General features: G+C 41.6%; 1 protein-coding gene and 1 non-coding gene across 9 annotated transcripts in view, besides 1 other annotated feature; one reads left to right on the top strand and one right to left on the bottom strand.

The window, feature by feature from the left end:
* Nucleotides 1-21,374, bottom strand: part of ECT2L (epithelial cell transforming 2 like) — a 107,984-nt gene that overhangs the window by 34,370 nt on the left and 52,240 nt on the right. For 7 of the 8 annotated variants that reach the window (XM_017010828.2, XM_006715472.4, NM_001077706.3 and 4 more), the window contains 5 exons: nucleotides 20,267-20,432; nucleotides 15,547-15,675; nucleotides 6,982-7,074; nucleotides 4,523-4,705; nucleotides 1,495-1,598 (listed from right to left, as the gene is read on the bottom strand). In XM_017010828.2, the coding sequence (XP_016866317.1) occupies nucleotides 1,495-1,598; nucleotides 4,523-4,705; nucleotides 6,982-7,074; nucleotides 15,547-15,675; nucleotides 20,267-20,432 (675 nt within the window). The remainder of the gene's footprint in view (nucleotides 1-1,494; nucleotides 1,599-4,522; nucleotides 4,706-6,981; nucleotides 7,075-15,546; nucleotides 15,676-20,266; nucleotides 20,433-21,374) is intronic. The other variant, XM_017010829.2, reaches the window with a different exon arrangement.
* LOC124901516 (U6 spliceosomal RNA) lies at nucleotides 10,568-10,674 on the top strand. The gene has a single exon (XR_007059941.1). It is a non-coding gene; the product is annotated as a U6 spliceosomal RNA (small nuclear RNA).
* Nucleotides 11,622-11,822: a silencer, noted in NCBI's record as "peak6155 fragment used in MPRA reporter construct". NCBI's record gives its function as "represses an SCP1 promoter by STARR-seq MPRAs in K562 erythroleukemia cells {active_cell/tissue: K562}" and the evidence as "EXISTENCE:reporter gene assay evidence [ECO:0000049][PMID:32103011]".

Here is a 21,374-nt window from a genome sequence, read left to right as displayed (position 1 = left end):
ATGGTTATTTTTAAATAATTAGGTGGAAATAAGTACACTGAACTGACACCAAGCATGCTGAGTAATCCTTCAGTGTTTTGGCAGACAGTGAGGGGGCACCTCTGTGAATATCCCTGCTCATTTTATCAGCAAGGCTCGCCAAAGGCCTTTCGTCATTGGGCTGCCTGAGCCTCACTGCAGAGCTGAGACTTCACAGGAGACAAACTACAGCTAATGCAGCTTCGCAGCCCCCACCCAGTGCAGGACAGCTACGCCCAGAAATGCCTGGTGCAGACCCAGGAAGCCACACTGAAACAGGAGCAGATACTCAATAATAAGGAGAGAGAGAATGTGTGCAGAGACAATGTTAAATTCACCCACAAAGCAGAATTATGATGGTGGAAGAGAAAGATTTGAGACTCTCCTTGAGAATTCCTTGGAAACTAGAGAATTTAGATTATTGAATATGTTAACAGCAGCCCTATCTCCATTCTATTCCCGACTCCCCTCAGAGGGAGAGCTGCACGTTGCCTTTTCTTTTCTTTTTCTTTTTTTGAGACAGAGTCTTGCTTTGTCACCCAGGCTGGAGTGCAATGGCACGATCCCAGCTCACTGCAACCTTCACCTCCTGGGTTCAAACAATTCCCTGGCCTCAGCCCCCTGAGCAGCTGGGATTACAGGTGCCCGCCACCATGCCCGGCTAGTTTTTGTATTTTTAGTAGAGACGGGGTTTCACCATGTTGGCCAGGCTGGTCTCCAACTCCTGATCTCAAATGATCCGCCTGCCTCGGCCTCCCAAAGTGCTGGGATTACAGGCATAAGCCACCACGCCTGGCCACATTGCATTTTCCTATAGCCATGCTGTCCTCTTTGGGGCTGGGAGAGCTGTCTGGAGACTGGCCTCTCCTCACTATTTTCTGAAATGTGGACTGGCTCCTTCTCACTGTTTTCTGAAGTGTAGACTGACCTTAATGAGAGAGAACCTTGGATCTGTGTCTGATGAAATTGTTTCTTTGGGTTTCTCCTACACCCATCCCCAGCCGAATTACTGATTTGCTTCTTTCCGTTCCGTTGTGTTCTCTTTCCCTTCCTCTCTCATCTAGCCCCTTTTCCCGTCATCTTTTCACATCTGGGTCACACTTTCTCAGATTTCTCCTGAAACTAGGAATTGGTTTCTCTGTTGAGTAAAGTTTATGTGAAATATAAAGCCACTAACATGTTTTATTAAAAAAAAAAAAAAGTCACTTCTGACTGAAATTAAGCACAAGACAGAAAACAGGGCACAATGTAATAAACTTTAAATAACCTAGAAGATTTTCCTACTTGTCTGTTTTGTGTACTTAACACATCTTGGGCCCAGAATCTCTTAGTGGCTATTTTTATAAACTGATGTAATTTCTCTGAGGAACTGTGCTCTGAAAGGGATAAACTGGTCAAAAAAATTAATAATAACTGCAAACAGAATTTATTTAAATGTTGGTTTTCATAGTTTACTTTCTTCAAAGAAACACTTACAGAATCTTCTTTTGACAACTCCATCAATCCATCTGCCAGAGCTTGCGCAGTATCTTGGTTGTTTAGAATGTTGGTCATACCCATGGTGTCAAACATAAACTGCCCTGTAAATACAAGGCCACATGCCCTGTAATTGATTTATGTAAGAAATGTGATTTAAAAACAACAACTCAGTCCTCACAGTTTCTTTTTTTTTTTTTTTTTTTTGAGACAGAATCTTACTCTGTTGCCCAGGCTGGGGTGCTGTGGCAAAATCATAGCTCACTGCAGCCTTGATCCAAGTGATCCTCCCACCTCAGCTTCTCAAGTAACTGGGACTATAGGCATGCACCACCATGCCTGCTTAATTTTTTAACTTTTATTTATTTATTTATTTTGAGATGGAGTCTCGCTCTTGTCACCCAGGCTGGAATGCAGTGGCGCAATCTGGGCTCACTGCAACCTCCGCCTCCTGGGTTCAAGCAATTCTCCTTCCTCAGCCTCCTGAGTAGCTAGGATTACAGGTGCCTGCCACCACGCCCAGCTAAATTTTTTTTTTTTTTTTTTTTTTTGTAGTTTTAGGAGAGACCGGGTTTCACCATGTTGGCCAGGCTGGTCTTGAACTCCTGACCTCAAGTGATCCTCCTGCCTTGGCCTCCCAAAGTGCTGGGATTACAGGCGTGAGCCACTGCAGCCAGCCAACTTTTTAACTTTTTGTAGAGATGGGGTCTTGCTGTGTTTCCCAGGCTGGTCTCAAACTCCTGGCCTCAAGCAATCTGCCCACCTCAGCCTCCCAAAGCATTGGGACTACAGACATGAGCCACCGTACTGGACCCACAGTTGTTTTTTTAGTGGATAAAAATGCAAAGAATAGCAGTAAAAATTCTATTATGCAATGAGGATTTCTACTATGATAAAATATAAAATGAACCAAAGTAATTTAAATGTCTAGTCTATAAAAAGTGCCCACTCCGGCAAAGCTGATATTGAATGAAATGTATAAATTGGACAATAAGGAGAGAGCATGTGAAAAGGAGCTCAATAAATTTAAATGTAAGACTCTCGATCCTACCAGGAGTTCCTCTATATTCTCCTTTATCTCTGCGCTCAAGTAGGCATTTGTTTTTTTGTTTTTTTGTTTTTTTGTTTTTTTTGAGACAGGGTCTCATTCTGTTGCCCAGGCTGGAGTGCAGTGACGCGATCTCAGCTCACTGAAACCTCTGCCTCCCTGGCTCAAGCAGTTCTCGTGCCTCAGCCTCCTAAGTAGCTGGGATTACAGGCACACGTCACCAGGCCCAGCTAACTTTTGTATTTTTCTGTGGAGACAGTGTTTTGCCATGTTGCCCAGGCTGGTCTCAAACTCCTGAGCTCAAGCAATCCACCTGCCTTGGCTTCCCAAACTGCTGGGATTACAGGCATGAGCCACTACACCAGGCTTCAAATATATAAATATTTTAAAGTCCAAAGTAAATAACATGCAAACATACATACACGGACATCTTTTAATTTTTAAAATATTTTTAACACCATGCAGTTATTTAAAAAATTGTTTTTCCATTTTCTTCTCATTGCCTACATATATTATTTAATAAATACTCTTATCACTTGAGGTCAGGAGTTCGAGACCAACCTGGCCAACATGGTGAAACCCCGTCTCTACTAAAAATACAAAAAATAGGCTGGGCACGGTGGCTCACACCTGTAATCCTAGCACTTTGGGAGGCCAAGATGGGCAGATCACTTGAGGTCAGGAGTTTGAGACCAGCCTGGCCAACATGGTGAAATCCCATCTCTACTAAAAATGCAAAAATTAGCCGGGCGTGGTGAGGCACACCTGTAATCCCAGCTACTTGGGAGGCCCAGCCTGGGTGACAGAGTAAGACTCCATCTAAAAAATAAAAATAAAATAAAAATTGGCCAGGCATGGCGGTGCATGCCTATAATCCCAGCTACTCAGGAGGCTGAGGGAGGAGAATCCCTTGAACTGGGAGGCAGAGGTTGCAGTGAGCTGAGATCACACCATTGCACTCCAGCCTGGGGACAAGAGCAAAACTCTGTCTCAAAAAAAAAAAAAAAAACTATGAAAAATACTTTCTCCCTGTTTACAACTTCATAACCATTTTAAAATAATGGTTGAACACCTCCTAAATGTGATAGAGTAGGTAGTACAAATAAGCAGGAAGGCAAATCCCTGTTTTGGAAGCATTTATGTAAAGAGATATAGGACATACATTGACAGATATCTACTTGCACGCTTGCGTGTTACAGCTCTTGTGTAGATGGTAACTATGTAAACAGACCTTAAATATGGAGCTGGGCAGAGGAAAAGAAGAAAGGCATAGATAGAGGGTGATTTGATTCATATGGTGTTTTAGTCAGGCGGAAAGTAGTAGGGGAAAAATTGAATAGATATGAGTAGTTGCAGATGAGAAAAAGAAAAACTCTTTACCTAGATGGTGAAATATACTTAAAGAATGGACTAATTTAGGTAAAGATGCAAAGTTGAGGAAGTAAATTGTTTTCAAAGGGCTCTGCTGTGATCATTCATTCCGTCATGGGGCTGGGGTGTGAATGGAAACATTCATTCAACCACGTCTAATAGGCTCAGCAAAGGCCCATGGAGCCCATCACTGAATTATATATTTTAGACAGAAAATAAATAGAACTTTAATTGTAGAACAATTTATGTAATAGGTGCTGGGGTATAAGAGGCGCTTAACTTTCAGAGCAAATTCTAGTGGGAAAAGTGCACAGCTCTCTGGCTTAGCAAACAGCAAATTGTGTCTAGGTAAATAAGTGACAAACAAGAATTAATAAGGTGGTAAAATGTTAAAATAAGAACGAGCTTCAACATTTTGAACCTGAATATATTTGTTGTTAGTGGTTGTTCGTTATATTTGAAAGGCCGTGTGAGCAACCTAGGAGATAAAATTTTACTGGAGATGTTCAAGAGTAAAATTTTACTTGCGCCATAACTAAACTTGTATTTACTCGGGATATGAAAGCAACTTCATAATTAACCTGCAACAGAAGTAGCAAGACTGCTTACCTATCATCCTGCCACTGATGCTCTTCTGCAGTTCCTTGAAGAAAGGATACAGCTGCTTCCTTACTGTTTTCAAGGTTTCTTCTAGGAAGTCTGTGAAGCTGGACCACGTCTGTAGCTTCGATTCGCAGAAGTAGATGGAAGAGGGGGCCTTTCCCCATTGGGATCCCAGCCAATCACTAAGAACTGACATGATTTTCTTCTGTTATTATTGCAGGCTTGAGCTCAGATGAAACAATTCTACATCTTGTTTAAAGTACAACAAAATCTTAGTTGCATTTGTATTGAGTTTATTATCGTTTCTCATTAGAAGACTAAGACAAACACCCATCCTCTGTTTTCAAAGGTAAAATTAGAAACTCGAAAAGGATTCAATGAATCATTTCAAATGCATGTCTACTCTTTGATAGCTGAGGCTGACATATTCCATTCAATGTTTAAAGAAAAAAAACAGCTGCTGGATTGTGCATTGGGAAGCTGAGCTGTCATCTGAGGAAGAATGCACTGCTTTATCTTTCCAGTCTAAAAGTGAAAACACAAGAAATCCCACGCTACACGGCTTCCCCATCAGGCCATTGGAAGTCAACCCTGTCATCGCCAATGGAAGTCAACCCTGTCATCACCAAATCCTTATCTTTCTTAAATTATGTCAAACTGCTACCTCGCTCTACAAATCTGTCTACAGGACTGTAGCAGGTGCTTAAAGAAAGTTTCTCTTCTTAAAAAACAATTACTGGATGATGCAGTGGTGTGTTAAATTTGATTTTCTGTCCTGAATGGATACATAGTGTATTTGCTTTGTTTCCTCTACTGTTACTGATAGACATGTGAAAAGGTTCACAACATGTTTTTGTTTCTGTTTGAGACAGTCTTGCTCTGTCACCCAGTCTGGAGTATGGTGGCACGACCTCAGCTCACTGCAACCTTCGCCTCCCGGGTTCAGGCAATTCTCGTGCCTCAGCCTCCTGAGTAGCTGGGATTACAGATGTGTGCCACTACTGCCCAGCTTATTTTTGTATTTTTAGTAGAGACGGGGTTTCACCATGTTGGGCAGGCTGGTCTCGAACTCCTGACCTCAGGTGATCTGCCTGCTTCAGCCTCCCAAAGTGCTGGGATTACAGGTGTGAGCCACTGCGCCCGGCCACAACATGCTTTTTTTTTTTTTTTTTTTTTTTTTTTAAATACGGAGAATGAGAACAAGAGAGGGAAAAGGAGGATGAACAGGAGGAAAGGAAGGCAGAGGAGGAGAAAAAGAAGAAAACCTGTTCCCGGCCAGATGCGGTGGCTCACGCCTGTAATCCCAACACTGGGAGGCTGAGGCGGGCGGATCACAAGGTCAGGAGATCAAGACCATCCAGGCCAACATGGTGAAACCCCGTCTCTACTAAAAATACAAAAATTAGTCGGGCGTGGTGGCACATGCCTGTAGTCCCAGCTACTCAGGAGGCTGAGGCAGGAGAATCGCCTGAACCCAGGAGGCGGAGGTTGCAGTGAGCCTAGATCGAGAACGTGCCGCTGCACTCCAGCCTGGCAACAGTGTGAGACTCTGTCTCAAAAAAAAAAAAAGAAAGAAAACCTGTTCCCTATTACCAGCAACAGCGTTCATACCCTGCTGTGCTCTGCTAGGCCAGTTCCTCTCTCCGCAGAGCCAAATGTGCTACCGTTTGGTGACGCTGCTATATTAACTAAAATTAGCAAGTGACCTCTGCTTCAAAACTATGTTAGGTCAAAGCACTTTTGTTATATCTACAAAGAATATTTTCCCTTACCAGTTTCACAGTTGTGCCAGCTTTCCCAAGTTCTAAAAGGCCCTTGGCATTTAGGAGTAGAGAAGCAATGATTTATATAGTTTCTGCATCACTCTCAGCCCTACTTGATAGGAATCAAGGGTGTTTTAAAGAGGAAAATGAGTGGTGTCGGTGTAACAAAGCAATTTGGTTCTGTTGTTGGTCAGCCCGTGTTACATTTTAATCTAAATTTGCAGCTTTAGTATCTAAATGAAAGTTTGCTTTCAGGTGTATTTTCTCTGATTGTTTTTCCTCTCAGATAATGCTACTGTAATGGAAACTAAGCCAGCCTCTTTGCCATCTCTTTGTAGCTACGATTTATTTTTCCAAATAAAACCATATTGACTATATATATGTTACTAAGAAAAGTTTTTCTTTGTACTTCTTACTTTTCTAGATCAGCAACTTTGCTTAATTGCTAAAGATTATGTTTTCAACAGTTTTTGAAAATGATGATTTGGGGCAAATATGTGCAATAAATAATCCTGTTCTAAGCAAATGACTGAATGATAGGAGATTACCTAGTTTGGGAACTAATAGCGTTCCTTCAGGGGAGGAATGAAAGAGAGTAATGGATATCAGCCATACCAGTACTATTAACTGGATTTTGTCTTTTGGTGATTCTGGAGTTGGCTTGTGTTATTGGACGTGGCGCTCAGCTCCCATAACACTTACTGTGCTGGTAAGAGCCAGTTGCAATCCCAGTGGGGGCCGTAAAGAACGTGCCAGTTAGTTGAGACAGCTGGGAAAGAACTTCAATTCCTGCCTCTGCATAGTCAAAAACACTTTCGTTAGTTTCCTCATATATTTTGCCATGGAAGATCATATAACTTGGATATTTGTTCCCTCCAAATCTCATGTTGAAATCTAATCCCCAACGTTGGAGGTGGGGCCTGGCAGGAGGGATCATGAGGGCGGATCCCTCATGAATAACTAGTGCCATCCCCTTAGTGATGAGTGAGTTCTCACTCTGAGTTCACACAAGATCTGGTTGTTTAAAAGTGTGTGGCACCTCCTCCCTCTCTCTTGTTCCTGCTCTTGCCATGTGACACACCACCTGCCCCTTCACCTTCTGCCGTGATTATAAGCTCCCTGAGGCCCTCACCAGATGCCAAGCAGATGCCAGTGGCATGCTTCCTATACAGCCTGGAGAACCATGAAGTAATTAAACCTCTTCTCTTTATAAATTACCCATCCTCAGGTATTTCTTTATAGCAATGCAAGAACAGACTAATCCAGAGCAGTTAAATATTACGTAGGGGCACTAAAGAGATGGCCAAGAAAGGCCACTAGCAGTTCTCATCTTCCATTCAAACCTCTCCATTGAACAGTCCATGAACACTTCATCATTCACCCCTAAATATTGAAGCTGAAACAGTCTGAGGACTAAACTACAGGATGGGGAAAGAGGGCATGGAGTTTGATCTGAGGCTTATTTTCAGATTTGGAATACCCAGCCCAAAGAAAGAGAAAAATCTATATATTTTTTTCTAAAATAGTCTGACTCAAAGGAGAAGTCTCATTGTAAGAGGACAGATTTTAAAAAGTTAAAAACAGGATGGAATATGATGGTTAAAATTTAGCCCCTTCCCTGGGCAAAGACTTCATGACTAAAACACCAAAAGCAATTGCAACAAAAGCCAGAATTGACAAGTGGGATCTAATTAAACTAAAAAGCTTCTGCACAGCAAAAGAAACTATCATCAGGGTGAACAGGCAACCTACAGAATGGGAGAAAATTTTTGCAATCTATCCATCTGACAAAGGGCTAATATCCAGAATCTACAAGGAACTTAAACAAATTTACAAGAAAAAAAAATCCCCATCAAAATGTGGGCAAAGGATGTGAACAGACACTTCTCAAAAGAAGACATTTATGCGGCCGTCAAACACATGAAAAAAAGCTCATCATCACTGGTCATTAGAGAAATGCAAATCAAAACCACAATGAGATACCATCTCACGCCAGTTAGAATGGTGATTTATTAAAAAGTCAGGAAACAACAGATGCTGGCGAGGCTGTGGAGAAATAGGAATACTTTTCCATTGTTGGTGGGAGTGTAAATTAGTTCAACCATTGTGGAAGACAGTGTGGCGATTCCTCAAGGATCTAGAACCAGAAATACCATTTGACCCAGGAATCCTATTACTGGGTATATACCCAAAGGATTATAAATCATTCTAGTATAAAGACACATGAACATGTATGTTTATTGCAGCACTATTTACAATAGCAAAGACTTGGAACCAACCCAAATGTCCATCATTCGTAGACTGGATAAAGAAAATGTGGCACATATACATCATGGAATACTAGGCAGCCATAAAAAAGAATGAGTTCATGTCCTTTGCAGGGACATGGATGAAACTGGAAGCCATCATCCCCAGCAAACTAACACAGGAACAGAAAACCAAACACTGCATGTTCTCACTCGTAAGTGGAAGTTGAACAATGAGAACACATGGATGCAGGGAGGGGAACATCACACACTGGGGCCTGTCAGGGGGTTGGCGGGAAAGGGGAGGGAGAGCATTAGGACAAATACCTAATGCGTGCAGGGCTTAAAACCTAGACGACGGGTTGATAAGTGCAGCAAACCACCATGGCACATGTATACCCATGTAACAAAGCTACACACACTGCACTTGTATCCCAGAACTTAAAGTAAAAAAAAAAAAAAAAAAAATAGCCCCTTCAGTGGCACAACATATAGATTGAATTATTTAATTCAGCATACAGGTTGAATTACTTGGAATGAAATGGGTAATTTATTTTAACTATTTGTGGTCCAAGAATAAATAAATACTCCAAAATGCTTCAATTACTGCATGAAACAGGATGACAGCAGCTGAAAGTTTGGGATGTCTCTCACTTACTGATGTCTATAGCACTTTTATTGACAAATTCATCAATGAAATCAAGTAGAGAGTCCAATGTACACATACATAGTCAATAGATTTCAACAAAGGTGCAAATGAAATTCACTGGAAAAAGGATAGTAGTTATAAGGAATGGTGAAGAAACAACTAGCCATATGTAAAAAAAAAAATTAACCTCTATCCATATCTCATATATTACATTAAAAAAACAGTCAAGTGGATCACAGACCTAAAAGTCAAGCTTAAAACTATAAATCATTTAGAAAAAACATAGGAGAAAATCTTAGTGGCCTTTGGTTAGGTAAATCGTTTTTAGATATGATGCCAAAGATGATCTATACAAGAGCATTTGATATATTTGATGTCATCGAAACTCAGAACTGTGCTTCAGGCTGGGCGCGGTGGCTCATGCCTGTAATCCCAGCACTTTGGGAGGCCAAGGTGGGCAGATCACCTGAGGTCAGGAGTTCAAGACCAGCCTGGCCAACATGGTGAAACCCTGTCTCTACTAAAAATATTAAAAAATTAGCCGGGCATGGTGGCGGGCATCTGTAATCTTGTAATCCCAGCTACTCAGGAGGCTGAGGCAGGAGAATTGCTTGAACCTGGGAGGCAGAAGTTGCAGTGAGCCGAGATCGCGCCATTGCATTCGTCTGGGCAACAAGAGTGAAACTCTGTCTCAAAAAAAAGAAGAAAAAAAAAAAGAACTGTGCTTCAAAAGAAACTGTTCAGAGAAGGAAAAAATATTTTCTACAGACTGTAGAAAATATTTTTATCCAGTATGTATAAAGAGCTCTTAAAGCTGAATAAGAAAACAAACAACCTAGTTTTTAAGATGGTCAAAAGAATGGCAAATAAGCACATGAAAAGATCTTGAGCATCATTCGTCATTAGGAAAATGCAAATTAAAACTGCAATGAGATACCACCACATACCCACCCAAATGGCTAAAATCAAAAAGACTGGCCGTACCAAGTGGTAAAATGATAGGCAACTAGAGTTCTCAGATACTGCTTGTGGAAATGTAAAATGCTAAAGTCACTTTGGAAATCAGTTTAGCTGGTGTTTTCATAAAGTTAAACATACGTCTACATATAACCTTGCCACTCTACTCCCAGGTATTCATCCAAGAGAAATGAAAGCATAAGTTCATAGCAGCTTTATTTGTAAAAGCAGAAACCAGGAAGAACTCAAATTTATCTATCAACAAATTAATGGATAAACAAATTGTGGTATACGTGTAGAATGTAATAATTCCCAGTAGTAAAAAGGAGATACTGATACATGGATCGGATGGGTAAATCTAAAATAATGATTGAATGAAGAAAGTCAGACAGAGAATACATACTGTATGATGCCATTTATAGAAGATTCTAGGCCAGTGCTTGCTTTGGCAGCACATATACTAAAATTGGAACAATACAGAGAAGATTAGTGTGGCCTCTGCACAAAGATGACCTGCAAATTTTTGAGCTGTTCCATATTAAAAAAGAGAAAAGGAAAAGGAAAATTCTAGGCCAGGCGGGATGGTGCACACCTGTGATCCCAGCAGGCTGAGGAAGGAGAATTGCTTGAGCCTAGGAGCTCAAGACGAGCCTGGGAAACATAGGGAGACCCTGTCTCTACTAAAAATAAAAAAAAATTAGCCAAGCATGGTGTTGTGTGCCTGTAGTCCCAGCTACTCAGGAGGCTGAGGTGGGAGGATCGCTTGACCCCGGGAAGTTGAGGCTGCACTGAGCCGTGATTTCATCACTGCACTCCAGCCTAGGCAACAAAGCAGACCCTGTCTCAAAAAAAAAAAAAAAAAAAAAAAAAAAGGAAAATTCTAGAAGATGAAAACTAATATATGTGAAAGAAAGACCAGTGGCTGCCTCAGGTTGGGGGTGGGGAGGAGCAGCAGAGAGAAATTATGGAATGGCATGAGGAAACTTTTGGGGGTAGTGAATATGTTCATTTTCTTGATTTTTCTTATGGTTTCATGGGGCAGGCCTACATATGTCAGAATTTAGTCAATTGCACACTTTTATTATGTACAGTTTATTGTATATTAATTATATTTCAATAATGCTGTTTAAAAATGTTTTTAATGCCAAAAAGAATGAGTCTCAGATTCTTAGATTTTTGGCTTATGCAGTAACTGTTGAATGATATTTTTACTGAGGAATCTGGGGAAGGGGTAGGTTTGGAGCTGGGGAGGCAATCAAGGGTTTGATTTAACTTTGAGATGTCTATTAGATGTGAAAATTAAACATCCAGTATGAAGATTCCAAGTGGGAATTAGATATGAGTCTGCAGCTCAGAGATTTCAGAGCTGGAGACATAAATTTGGGGTCCTCAGCATATAAATTACATTTAGAGTCATAGTGATATGGTTTGGCTGTGTCCCCACCCAAAATCTCATCTTGAATTGTAATAATCCTCACGTGTGAAGGGTGGGACCAGGTGGAGATAATTGAATTAAGGGGGCAATCTCCCCCATCCTCTTCTCGTGAGAGCGAGTGAGTTCTCACGAGATCTGATGGTTTTATAAGGGGCTTCCTCTTTTCCTCAGTTCTCATTCTTCCTCCTCCTGCCGCCACGTGGAGAAGGATGTGTTTGCTTCCCCGGCCCTGCAGAACTGTGAGTCAAGTAAACCTGTTTCCTTTATAAATTACCCAGTCTCGGGCAGTTATTCATAGCAGCGTGAGAATGGAATAATACACATAGGAATAGTGAGACTGCCTAGGGAGGAGAGTGCGTATGTGGAAAAGGAGAGAGGCTAGGATCAAGCCCTAGGGAATATTTAAGGATCTTGCAGAGAAAGAAGAGCCTGCAAAGGAGATTGAGAAGAGGGCACTGAGGTGGGAGGAAACAGGGAGAGTGTGGTATTAGGGACACCAAGAGAAGGAGTATTTCAAGAAGGGGCGTTCCTCTGCATCAGATGCTTCCATAAAGTCAAAGTGAGGTGGGAATGGAGCAGGGACCACTGGATTTGAGCACATGGAAGTCACTTACAGTCCTCCAAAAGTAGTGCCAGTACAGACAGAGACCCACTGGAGGAGCTTGAGGAGAGTGTGGGAGGTGAGGATGGAGGGCCTAGAGGCAGCAGCATCACCATCACCTGGAAACTTGATAGAAAGGAAAATTCTCCAGCCCCACCCCAGACTTAACTGAGTCTGAAACTCTAGGTGGGACCCAGCAATGTGTAGTTTAACCAGCCCTCCAGGTGATATGGATGCGCGCTCAAGTCTGAGAACCTCTGGTCTTGTCAACTTAAAAAGTGGTGAGGGAAAGCTTATTGTCCTTTTATTTTTTTAAGGCAGGAGATACTACAGGTGTTTCTGATTTGATAGAAACAATCCAATAAAGAGAAATGAGGGCACAGGAGAGGATTGGATGTGGAAGTCTGGAGAAGATGAAAGGCAACGGGCTAGATTCCAAGTGCAGTATCTGATCTTGTTTGAGAGGGATGCTTCTTCCATCAGGGCGAAGGGAAGACAGAGAATAAAAAGTAAGAGGTGGAGCTGGTGGTGGATTCGACGGTAGGAGGAAAATTAGGGAGTTCCCATATGATTCAGTTTGCTTGGCGAAGTAAAAGGTGAGGTCAAAGCTGAGAGACAGGGTTATTGAAAGATTGTCTAAAGAGAAGAGATAAAATTGTCATCTCAAAGAGTGTGAAAATGAATTTACCAAGGAAATTGCTCATCGGTGTTGCAATCCCATTTGACAGTTATGTCACCAAAGTAAAGTTAGACCAATCAGAACGGTTGTATCACTTATTCCAACAGTCTTTAAAGCTGCTTTAGTACCCACAGGTATAGTGTGTGCAGAGAGTTGTGTTTTAACCAAATGAATTGGGATTTAGCCAAAAAAGAGAGACAAGTTCAGATTCTTTGCAAGGGAGTGGTGAGAAAATTGGGCCATTAAATCCAAGTTTAACAAGGAAGGAAGCAAAAATGAAGACATGGTGGTAGTGAAAAAGTTGGAGTGTGTAGGCTGGAGGTCTTAGACAAAGAATTGCTGGGCCAGGTGTGGTGGCTCATGCCTGTAATCCCAGCACTTTGGGAGGCTGAGGTGGGCGGATCATGAGGTCAGAAGTTCTAGACCAGCCTGGCCAATATGGTGAAACCCCGTCTCCACTAAAATTACAAAAATTAGCCGGGTGTGGTGGCACATGCCTGTAGTCCCAGCTACTTGGAGGCTGAGGCAGAAGAATCGCTTGAGCCCGGGAGGCGGAAGGTTGCAGTGAGCCGAGATCACGCCACTGCACTCCAGTCTGGGCGACAGAACGAGACATCTCGGGCGGTGGGGTGGGGGAGACAAAAAGAATTGCTGTGGTGGGGGTATTTGAGTACATGATTTGAAAATGGTTCTCAAATACTTGAAATCGAGATTTTAGGAGTGATTTACAGCCACTGGGCTGACAAGCCTAAGAGGGATGCCTGAAGTGGTGGAAAAGAGACATTTGGACTGAGAAGTCAATGATCTTTGATGCATCCAGGTGGATATTACATTTGATGAGAATTTCGGGGCCCAGAATGGTGATAGAAAGCCTATTTTTTGAGTGTCATTAAGTTTCACTTGAGACAATTTTTATGTCACCAAATCCACTTTTCCCGCTTTATTCTTACTCTGCCTTTCAATACTTTCCCAAGTCCTTTCTTTTTCTTCTTCACTTAAAATATTCGCTTTGTTCTATTATAAAAGTAATATTAGTTCATTACAGGAAATTGAGACAAAATACATTTTTTAAAAGGGAGAGAAAAAGGAAAACTCACTTATATCCAACCAGTGTGAATACCTTGGTATACATCCTTCCAAATCTTTTTCTATACATACACCACCTCACACATATGCATGTTTTAAACAATGAGATCACACCATCCAACTCTTTGTAACCTAGTCTTTTAAAACTAATTTCAAAGTAGAAAAGTAGAAAAATTATAAAACACATCTAGAAATAGGTGCTGTTAATATTTTGGTATATTTCCTTTTAGATTTTTCTATGCATATTTTCTTTTTTTTCTGAGGTGGAGTCTCACTCTGTCGCCCAGGCTGGAGTGTAGTGGTGCGATCTTGGCTCACTGCAACCTCTGCCTCCCAGGTTCAAGTGATTCTCCTGCCTCAGCCTCCCGAGTAGCTGGGATTACAGGTGTCTGCCACCACGCCCAGCTATTTTTTTCTATTTTTAGTAGAGATGGGGTTTTGCCATGTTGGCCAGGCTAGTCTCGAACTCCTGACCTCAGTTGATCTGCCCACCTTGGCCTCCCAAAGTACTGGGATTACAGGTGTGAGCCACCACACCTGACCAGCATATTTTCTACATAAATGAGATTTAATAAATATATATATGTATATAAATATAATTGGAATAACTTTGTAAATTTACATGTTTAAAACAATTCTTTCCCATTCTTTTTATTTTTTCCTGTCCTCTGATTGAAGCCTGCCAGGGGGCTTGCTTTGCATATGTTGAACAGTCCTGTGAAATTTGAGGAGTAGAAAGAATTTTAAAACTCACAGTTACCCAAGGAATGGCTAACAACAACAACAAAAAAAAACAGTATGAGAAAATTTAATTTCACATTCCCTCTCCCCTGCTCTCCTTGTAAACATTGTGCATGAATGCAGAGCTTTTATTGAACAGATCTCCAAAGAATGAATTTGACTTAATGCTTCTGAAGTTTCTCTTCAAGCATAGAAGTCAACTTTGAATCACAGTTGCTGATTCTAGACAGGCAGCCACTTAAAATGATATCAGCAACCTCAGTCATCATTAGCCATACTCATCTTTACAAAGCACCTCACTGTTTTTAATATTATCTAAGAATTTACACTGTGTTTATTATTTAAATATGTCATCTTGAGATTCATAAGTCCTTAAGATGCACTAAGGTACCATTGTTCTAAATTTCATATGAGGAAATGGAGGTCCACAAGTTTGCCTAATGCCACAAAGCTAAACAATGACATTGGCGGGACTCAAGTTCAGGTTCTTGGTCACCAAAGTTCATGCCTACTCCAGGTTCAGAAGGCGGCAGGGGGTGTTTTCTCGGATTGAATGATTATGGCTCCTATGATGGTCAGGCACTTTCCCTTATATCCTGGATACTGGTGTTATTGTGTTTTCCAGAATAAATATAAATAATGCTCCTGGGTCTTGCCATTTAGGGACCGTATTTCTGTAGAGACAGGTTACTTTCATCACTATCCCTCACTGCTACTTTCTTGAAATACCTGGATATGTGAAGTACAAAGAAAAAAGAAATTGAAGCGTGAAATGTGACTGAATCATTTGACCCAGGGGCACTTCAATAATTCACAACATATCCCCATGAAGTGGCATGGCCACTGTCTCTCTATAAGGTGTTCTGAGCTAACCTGATGCTCCAAGGGGCACGAAGAAGTCCACGTGACCCCCTTCTTCTTCAGTGGCCACATAGCTTCCTAATTTCTCCCAGAAATCTCTCACTTCAGGCCTCAGTAAATTTTTAACACCAATTTTATAGCCTGAGGAAAAAAAATCAAAATGTCATATTAGCTTGTAACATAATACTGAACAGAAATTATTAGCAGCTTGTGAAAATGTAAGCACAAAATCAAAATGCCATCTGCCTGCAAGACCAAGACACCTGAGGCATCTCTGCTTCCTCCCGTACCATGTTGGAGCCATCTCCATGGTCCTGGTCTCCTTCACATCCTGGGTAAATTGGACACTATGCACTCAGGTTTACGACATTGCATTTCTGCCTCCACTGTGCAGCAGGGTAAGATATCAGGCGCATGCAGGGTTTAGGGGGACGGTCAGCAAGTCCTGGGATTTTGCAACCAAGTTCCAAAGTAGAAATGTTTCCCAGGATTGTCAATCAAAAAATAAGTAGTGCAGAGCAGAAGTTAAGGCTCCCAGAGATGGTAAACAGCAACTGAAACTCTCCTTTTCTCTCACTTCCCGACAATTCTGTGTGATGATTCCACTAAGCTGCATGGGTCTGGACCCATTTCTAAAGGAGTCCTGGAAACTCCGCATCCCCAGGCTCCGGTGATGAAATGAAAACAGGCAAAGAATTCTGATGTTTCACTCCCTCCCACTGGGAGGTCTAGATATTTTATAAATATCTAGAAAGGACTTCTTCATGTGACAGGGTAGCAGACTTTGTTTTGATGTTGTTTTTAAAGCAAAAGCTTTTGGGAAAACACAATTATATAGAAGTAAACTAGGTCTTTGAGGTATTTTGTTGCTGTTACTGTTGCTTAAGAAAAACAAAATAAGGGCCAGGCGCGGTGGCTCACGCCTGTAATCCCAACACTTTGGGAGGCCGAGGCAGGTGGATCACAAGGTCAGGAGTTTGAGATCAGCCTGGCCAATATGGTGAAACCCCATCTCTACTAAAAATACAAAAGTCAGCTGGGCGTGGTGGTGCACACCTGTAGTCCCAGGTACTCAGGAGGCTGAGGCAGAAGAATCGCTTGAACCCAGGAGGTGGAGGTTGCAGTGAGCCAAGATCGTGCCGCTGTACTCCAGCCTGGGCGACAGAGCGAGACTCCATCTCAAACAAAAACAAAAAATAAACAAACAAACAAAAAACACCCAGAATGAGGAAAAGGCAGAGTTTGAAAACTTTTCTTACCTGGAGAACAAAAAGGCTGAGATCAAGAAACTCTAACAGGACATTCCACACGAGATAAACTTACTCCCATCATATAAACTTGCCAATATCTCTGCACCATTTAGAGAAGAGTTACCATGTCATTTAAATTTAAACCCCAAACAAATAGTATCTGTGCTTTACTTTGGGAGGACATAGAAAACTGATGTGGAACACAACTTGCCCCAGGCACAGGTAAGCTAAACAAGGAAAACCAGAAGTAAGGTAAAGTGAAACAAACGTCAATTCGTTTCTGCCAATGATAAATTTCACTGAAACTTTCCAAGTACACGAAGTCCCAACCACAGAGATGGCAATTTGACGGGTGTCTCAGGGACTCACTTTGCCATTTTGCTGGTTTACTCCAGCCATATCTGGGATCATCTTATTCCTTCTCTCCCCTCATCCCACAATAATGGAAGATTTCATTTGAGTAAGTTTTAAAACAATTTTACTTTAAGTATAAGCAAGGAACAATGCAAGCTATAAGAAAAAAATAGAAACTAGACGTCTACTTCTAAAACATTCATCATCTCTTTCTCCCGGAAAAAAAAAAAAAAGTAACCGTTGAGGTTTGTTTTGAGGGGCAGAGGGCTGGGGGGTTTTTGGTTTGTTTTTGTTTTTCTTTAAGACAGGGTCTTGCTCTGTAGCCCAGGCTGGAGTGCAGTGGCTCAATGACTGACTTCAACCTCTGCCCCGCCGGGATCCTCCCAAGGAGTAGCTGGGACTACAGAGGTGTGTGCCACCACGCCCAGCTAATTTTTTTGTATTTTTTGTACAGATGGGGTGTCGCCATGTTGCCCAGGCTGCTGTGGGCTCCTGGGCTCAAGAGAGCCGCCTACCTCAGCCTCCCAAAGTGCCAGGATTACAGGTATGAGCCACCATGCTCCACCCCACTGAGATTTTTGACGGCTGCCCTGTAACAAGTTGATGATATCAGCCATTCCTTTCCTTTGTAGGAAACTAGGAATATAATAAATCTGTAGCCAACTAGGAATATAATAAATGTTGTTAGTGTACACCAATTTATAGATCTTGGTATTTACTATTAAAATTGCTGCACTTTCATCAAATTTAAAACTTTTGTGCATCAAAGTGTACAATCAACACAGTGAAAATGAAATCTATGCAATGGGAGAAAATATTTGCAAATCATATATTTGATAAGGGAATAGTATTTAGAATATATGAACTATAACTCAACAGTGAAAAAAATCAAATAACCCAATTTTTAAAAATGTGCAAAGGACTTGAATAGACATTTCTCTGAAGAAGATAACCAAATGGCCAACAAGCCTATTAAAAGATGCTTGACATCACTAATCAGAGAAATGCAAATCAAAACCACAATGAGATATTACATCCATTAGGATGGCTACTATTTAAAAAAAAAAAAAAAAAAAAAAAGGCTAGGCACAGTGGCCCACACCTGTAATTCTAGCACATTAGGGGCTGAGGTGGAAGGATTGCTTGAGGCTAGGGGTTCCAGACCAGCCTGGACAATGTAGTGGGACCCCATCTCTAAAAAATAAAAATAGAAATTAGCTGGATATGATGGTGTGCATCAGCTACTTAGGACACACTGAGGAAAAAGGATCACTTGAGCCTAGGAGTTCAAGGCTACAATAAGCTATGATCACACCACTGCATTTCACCTTAGGAAACAGAGCGAGGCTCTGTCTCCAAGAAAAAAACCAACAAAACAAAAAAAAAGCACAGATACACACAGAAAATAAGTGTTGGCAAGGATGTGGGATGTGTAGAGATTGTAAATGTCGTGCACTGTTGGTGGGATTATGAAATGATGCAACTGCTATGGAAAACAGCATCGAGAATTCAAGATTTCTTTTTCTTTCTCTCTTTCTCTTTTTTTTTTTTTTTTTTTTTTTTTTTTTGAGATGGAGTTTCGCTCTTATTGCCCAGGCTGGAGGTGCAATCTTGGCTCACCGCGACGTCCGCCTCCCAGGTTCAAGCGATTCTCCTGCCTCAGCCTCCCGAGTAGCTGGGATTTCAGGCATGTACTACCACACCCAGCTAATTTTGTGTTTTTAGTAGAGATGGGGTTTCTCTATGTTGGTCAGGCTGGTCTTGAACTCCTGACCTCGGATGATCCACCTGCCTCAGCCTCCCAAAGCGCTGGGATTATAGGCGTGAGCCACTGCACCAGGCAGGAGATTTCTTTAAAAGGTAAAAATAGAACTATCATATAATCCATCAATCCCATTTCTGGGTATATATCCAAAATTGAAAGCAGGATCTCAAAGAGATGGTTGCATACCCATATTCAACAATAGCAGCACTATTCACAATAGAAGTGGAAGCAACCCAGTTTCCATCAGTGGATGAACAGATAAAACATACTATATACATACATGCCCTTAAAAGGAACACATACAACATGGATGACCTTTCAGGACATTATACCAAGTGACATAAGCCAGTCACAGCCGGGCAAAGTGGCTCATGCCTGTAATCCCAGCACTTTGGGAGGCCGAGGCAGGTGGATCACTGGAGGTCATGAGTGCAAGACCATCCTGGCCAACATAGTGGAACCCTGTCTCTACTAAAAATAGAAAAATTAGCCAGGCATGGTGGTGGACGCCTGTAATCACAACTACTTGGGAGGCTGAGGCAGGAGAATCGCTTGAACCCCGGAGGCAGAGAGAGGTTGCAGTGAGCTGAGATTGTGCCGCTGCACTCCAGCCTGGGCGACAAGAGCAAGACTCTGTCTCGAAAAAAGAAAAAAGTCACAAAACGACAAATACTGTGTGACTCTCCTATAAGAGTATCTAAAATACTCAAATTCATAGAAATGAAGTCGAATGGTGGTTGTCAGGGCCTGTGGAGAGGAGAAAAGAGAAGTTTTTTTTCAGTGGGCACAGAGTTTCAGTTTTGCAAGATGGAAAATTTTTGGAGAGCTGTTTCACAACAATGTGAACAAACAATACTGAACTGCACACTTCAAAATGGTTAAGACAGTAACGTGTTTCTTTAATCAAAATTTGAAAAAACGGTCATCAAAAAAATTGCTTCACAGCTGGGGTGTGGTGGCTCACCCCTGTAATCCCAGCCCTTTGAGAGGCTAAGGCAGGAGAGAGTTTGGGACCAGCATGGGCAACATGGAGAAACCCCATCTCTACAAAAAATACAAAAATTAGCTGGGCGTGGCGGCACACACCTGTGGTCCCAGCTGCTCAGGAGGCTGAGGTGGGTAGATCACTTGAGCCTGGGAAGTCCAGGCTGCAGTGAGCCGTGATCACACCAGTGCACTCCAACCTGGGTGACAGAGACCCTGAATTAAAAAAAAAAAAAAAAAGCTTCGCTTTTTTCATAAAGCCAAAAAATCAACACGTCTTAGCAACTTGGAACTGAGATAGTCCTCCGGAAGTCACACTGTGGACAAAGTGCACAGCGCGAAGTTCCATGGTTGTTCATCCGCCAATCCCCAGGCCTACCTTGGAGTAAATTGATTTCTCTGCTGTCTCCATCGCTAAATATTCCGATGCTCTGTGCCTTCTGCCCATCCAGAGCTTTTTCTATAAGATACAGAAGGCTTTCCAAGGTTACGCTGTGTTCATATACCACAGAAACAACACCAGCCTTCACACTCTCCATCACCATCTGGAGAATGAAACCAAAGCTGTAAGAGCCAAGACCCACTATTTTAGAATATTTATTAATGAAAGAAATAGAACGGATACAAAATACGCCGTGATTTCTAAAGAATTTTCAGAGATTATGGAAGAAGATAAGCTTCCTCCTTGGTTTCTATTAAAATTAGTTTATTTCTAATTATAGGAGGAGAAAATTAAGTACACATGTAATTCTACTCAGAGATAAATACTATTAACAATTTAGATTACTTTCTTCCAGCCTTTTAATCTTTATGCACGCCATGCACAAAGACATATAAATAACTTTTAAAAAGTAATAATGGCCAAGCACAGTGGCTTACACTTGTAATCCCAGCACTCTGGGAGACCGAGGCTGACGGATAACTTGAGCTCAAGAGTTAGAGACCAGCCTGGGCAACATGAGGAAACCCCTGTCTCTACAAAAAATACAAAAATTAGGTGGGTGTGGTGGCGTGTAGCTGTAGTCCCAGCAATTATCCTGCCTTTGCCTCCTAAAATGTTGGGATTATAGGTGTAAGCCACCATGCCCGGCCAGCATGATGCATTGTTAAACACTGTGGAAGCTATGGCCCACATGGAGATCAAGGATCTGATCTTGCTTTCATGTGGATCCACTGAGCTCACCGGTTATCAGTGATTAGAGCTGACTCTTAGATGCCCGGAAGAAGTGAGTTCATATCTTAAAAGGAGCTATTTTGTTACAAATAGAAACTTTTCTAAGTATATATCCCTATGTGTGCATATTAATACATACAGGTACACATATATACATACATATACACTCACATATATAGATACAAAGGTCATCTTTGTGCTTCCTTTATTTTTATATTATTCATATTAAAATTAAAATATATAACTTCATTATAGAAAAACCAAACAGGATTTCTGACATTCTTCTTTTTTGAGATGGTGGTTACATAATACT

This window comes from Homo sapiens, chromosome 6 (assembly GCF_000001405.40).
Source record: "Homo sapiens chromosome 6, GRCh38.p14 Primary Assembly".
In the NCBI taxonomy this organism is placed as follows: Eukaryota; Metazoa; Chordata; class Mammalia; order Primates; family Hominidae; genus Homo; species Homo sapiens.
The sequence above is the reverse complement of the archived record's forward strand: the minus strand, read 5'-3'. Positions and strand labels throughout refer to the sequence as shown.